At 37.4% G+C, this 4,391-nt stretch overlaps 1 annotated feature.

Moving 5' to 3' along the window:
- Window positions 346-1,545: an enhancer, noted in NCBI's record as "MED14-independent group 3 enhancer chr4:68157353-68158552 (GRCh37/hg19 assembly coordinates)". NCBI's record gives its function as "activates an origin of replication core promoter dependent on BRD2, BRD4, P300/CBP and CDK7 cofactors, and independent of MED14, by STARR-seq in HCT116 cells {active_cell/tissue: HCT116}" and the evidence as "EXISTENCE:reporter gene assay evidence [ECO:0000049][PMID:35650434]".

Here is a 4,391-nt window from a genome sequence, read left to right on the forward strand (position 1 = left end):
GGTGAGCAATGAGATATAATGGGGAGAGAAAGAGGAGGGTTCCAGGATTAACAATGAGCTCTCCTTGGATAACCAGACTAGTGGTCAAATTTCACACACAACGAGGGCAGGTTAGAGAGGGAATGGGAGGGATGTTATGAGTTCAGTCAGGAGAAGATAATTTTCAGATGCTTGTGTAGCAATGCTTTGTCTCTAAAAATAAATAAATAAAAATAAAAAGATACATATTTTTAAATAAGGAAATACCTAGTAATACATAAATCGGAGGCTCAGGAGAACAACGTTAGAGAAAAATATGCAAGTTATGAGCACAAAAATATATGTTTACCAATTAAAGTTGTTTACTTGGTTATACTAGAAAACACAAAATAGCAGCAGTTTTAACAGAATAAAAATTTATTTCTCTAGATCCAAAGGTGGGGAGTAGGGGCTGTAATGATGGCTATAACCTGTCATCAGGGAGCCAGACTCCCAGCTTTCTGCACCACCATCCTCAGTGCACAGCTTACATCCTGTTCTGGTGTGGCTGCTCAAGCTCTTCCCACCGTGTTCATATTTCAGGAAGCTGCAAGAAGACAGCAAGGGCAAGAGAGGGCACTTTCCAGCACCTTTTAGGAGCCGCCTCTGAAATCTCATACACCAGTTCTGCTTGCAACTCCTTAGCCAGATCGTCAACGTATGGTGCACCTAAGTATGACAGAGACTGGGAAATGTAATCTTATAGCTGAGTCCATTAACTCCTTGTATAAAATTGATATTCTGCTACTTAAGAGGGGTGAGTGGATATTGGTTAAACAAAGAGTAATCTCTGTTACATCATGCAAATGACTAAGATGGAGGAAGAACTTGAAGCATAAAAATAAAGTGGGTCAAGACAGACCTAAGAGGAATGATTTAAGGGGCAGACAAAGGGAAGGCACTGAGAAGGGAAAATATTAAAGGGAGGGGAAGAACCCAGGGGAGGAAGTACCTTTTCCACAGTTTTCCAAATAGTGAGTCATTAAGCCTTCTGCAGTTGTAATCATATTACATTCCTGTGAATTAAGCTGATGCTTCTGTGTTATTTTTAAATTGATTATTCAGATTTCTAGCTATAATTTTTTATTATATACTTATTTATGCCTGATATCTGTGATCATGATATCTGTGGTCATTTGGCTTCTTCCAAATAGGCACCTTTGGAAACTGCATTAGCTCCTTCAAGTCGTCAAAATATGCTGGAGTAACAAGTTCCTAAACAGTATCTTCACTTTCAGATACTGAAATAATTTATGACTCATTCAAAAGCATTAGGTTAATGAGAACATTAAAAGTAACAATAGATGTCAAGTCAGAATGCAAAGCCAGAGCAGAAACAAAGTTATACTGATATCCCTTAATAAAATAAACAGTTCTTTACTGAAGCTTGTCTTTTAAGCAAAATTCTGATATTGAAACCATATTTTTCTCATTCACTGGTACTTCCTATGGGGAAAAAAAAATCAGTCCTAAGACGTTTAAAACAGAACTGTACTCCAGAGCCAAGTATCTCCTCCACTAATGGGAATGAGGAAATGAAACAGGAAAGAGGAAAAGATATCATTAGTCACAGTATACTGGCTTATACTCTCTAGATAGAAAAAAAGAAATTAACAAGCCTGTCAAGAAAAGGAAAACTGGGGCTAAATGTAGGCCAGAAAAGAGAAAAGAGACTCGCAATCATCATTACCTACCAAAAGGCAGCATGAGTGAATTTTCAAAGTATGGTATAGCATTCCTTAAATGGCCATATATCAATTATCGAGTGCTGTTAAGGAATAGTGCCTTCCAGCTAATTCGGAGCCCTAGGTGTTAATAAGAACCTTACATATCTAAAGTATACTAAGTTGGCAAAGTATTTTAAATGCAATAGGACATTTTAAGTCACCTGAAGTTATTAGTAAGATGATATTACATAATCGCATTTTACAAATAGAAAAGCAGATTCAAAAAACCTATCCTTATCTGTCATATGAAAGGAGTGCTGTGGTCTGAATATTTTTGTCCCTTCCAAACTTATCTTGAAACTTAATCCCCCATGCAACAGTGTTAGGAGGTGGGATCTAATGGGAGGCGTTGAGGTCACGTGGCTCTACTCTCATGAATGGATTAACGCTGCTATAAAAAATGGGCTTGCAAAAGTGGGTTTGCTGTCTTCTGGTTCTTCCACAATGGCATCCAAGGTGCCATCTTGGAAGCAGAGAACCTGTTGGTATCTTGATGTTGGACTTCTCAGCCTCCATAACTGTGAGAAAATAAATTTCTGTTCTTTATAAATTACCCAGTCTGTAACAGAATATCTTCTCTGTGGCAGCATAAATGGACCAAGACAAAGTGTAACTGAATTTTTCACTCTAAAAGTTCTATAAGACTATGAGAACTACACAAATATTGAGAGATAACGTTAGAACTTGAGGTTTGCAATTCCAAGACCTTGATTCCCTAAAAATCTCACAAGAGCACTTAGTATATATGGCTCAGGTGGACCGTCAGTATTCAAACCATTAGCAAAATACCATAAGCAATAATGTTACCACATATTAATGATTAGAGAATGTGTTCATGTATCACAGGTCTTCAGAAAAATCATCATAAGGATCAACTGTGCTTAAAAGTATACACAGACATACCAAAAAATAAAGCTCTGATTAAGCCTGTCTCCAATAAAAGAGCACATTATTATTAATCTTTACATTCAGGTACTTGTTATATAATTAGGGATCTCAGAAAACTTATATCTAGAACATAGATCATCCTACGTTTTTCTTAAATTATAAGGCATATGACTGATTTTCATTTTAATTAACTTTCCTGGATAAAAGTTTACACATGGTTTCCTTCTTTTCTCAACTCCCCATTTTGACAGTCTTTCAGCATTGCATTATGACACAGTTACACAAAGAACCTCTCCAGATGGTTTATCAACACCACATTTTTCATATCAGAGGCAGATATAGAAATGTGGCAATCCATGGTAAGTACTAGTTTCCTATTGCTATTTTAACAAATTACTACAAACTTAATAGCTTAAAACAACTGCTATTTTACAGATTTAAAGGGCAGAAGTCTGAAATGGGTCTTAGTCATCTAAAATCAAGATGTTAACAGAACTGCATTCTTTTAAGCCTCCAAGGGAAAATCTATTTCCTTTCCTTTTCTAGATTCATAGGCTTCCCGCAATCCTTGGCTCATGGCCCCTTTCTTTATCTTTAAATCCAGTGGAGTTTTTTTTGAATCTTTGAATCTCTCACTTATTCTAAGCATCACTCTCCTTCCTCTGTCTTTCACTTATAAAGAACTTTTTGATTACAGGGGCCCACCTAGATAATCCAGGATAATTTCCCCATCTCAAGATTCTGAACTTAATCACATCAGCAAAATTTCTTTTGCCTTGTAAAGTAATATATTCGTGAGTCTGGAGATGGAGACATGCATGTCTTTGTTAAAAGGTCTTCTAAAATGCATGACTTATAACAGGGTGTTGTGTGGTCCTTAAAGTGTGCAGACCTAACTCAGCAAACCAAAACTTGTTTTTCTTTTTTATTATTATTATTATTATACTTTAAGTTTTAGGGTACATGCGCACAACATGCAGGTTTGTTACATATGTATACATGTGCCATGTTGGTGTGCTGCACCCATTAACTCGTCATTTAGCATTAGGTATATCTCCTAATGCTGTCCCTCCCCCCTCCCCCCACCCCACAACAGTCCCTGGTGTGTGATGTTCCCCTTCCTGTGTCCATGTGTTCTCATTGTTCAGTTCCCACCTATGAGTGAGAACATGCAGTATTTGGTTTTTTGTCCTTGTGATAGGTTGCGGAGAATGATGGTTTCCAGCTTCATCCATGTCCCTACAAAGGACTTGAACTCATTATTTTTTATGGCTGCAGAGTATTCTGTGGTGTATATGTGCCACATTTTCTTAATCCAGTCTATCATTGATGGACATTTGGGTTGGTTCCAAGTCTTTGCTATTGTGAATAGTGCTGCAATAAACATACGTGTGCCTGTGTCTTTACAGTAGCATGATTTATAATCCTTTGGGTATATCCCCAGTAATAGGATGGCTGGGTCAAATGGTATTTCTAGTTCTAGATCCCTGAGGTATCGCCACACTGACTTCCACAATGGTTGAACTAGTTTACATTACCACCAACAGTGTAAAAGTGTTCCTATTTCTCCACATCCTCTCCAGCACCTGTTGTTTCCTGACTTTTTAATGATGGCCATTCTAACTGGTGTGAGATGGTATCTCATTGTGGTTTTGATTTGCATTTCTCTGATGGCCAGTGATGAGCATTCTTCCATGTGTTTTTTGGCTGCATAAATGTCTTGTTTTGAGAAGTGTCTGTTCATATCCTTTGCCCACT

This window comes from Homo sapiens, chromosome 4 (assembly GCF_000001405.40).
Source record: "Homo sapiens chromosome 4, GRCh38.p14 Primary Assembly".
NCBI lineage: Eukaryota > Metazoa > Chordata > Mammalia > Primates > Hominidae > Homo > Homo sapiens.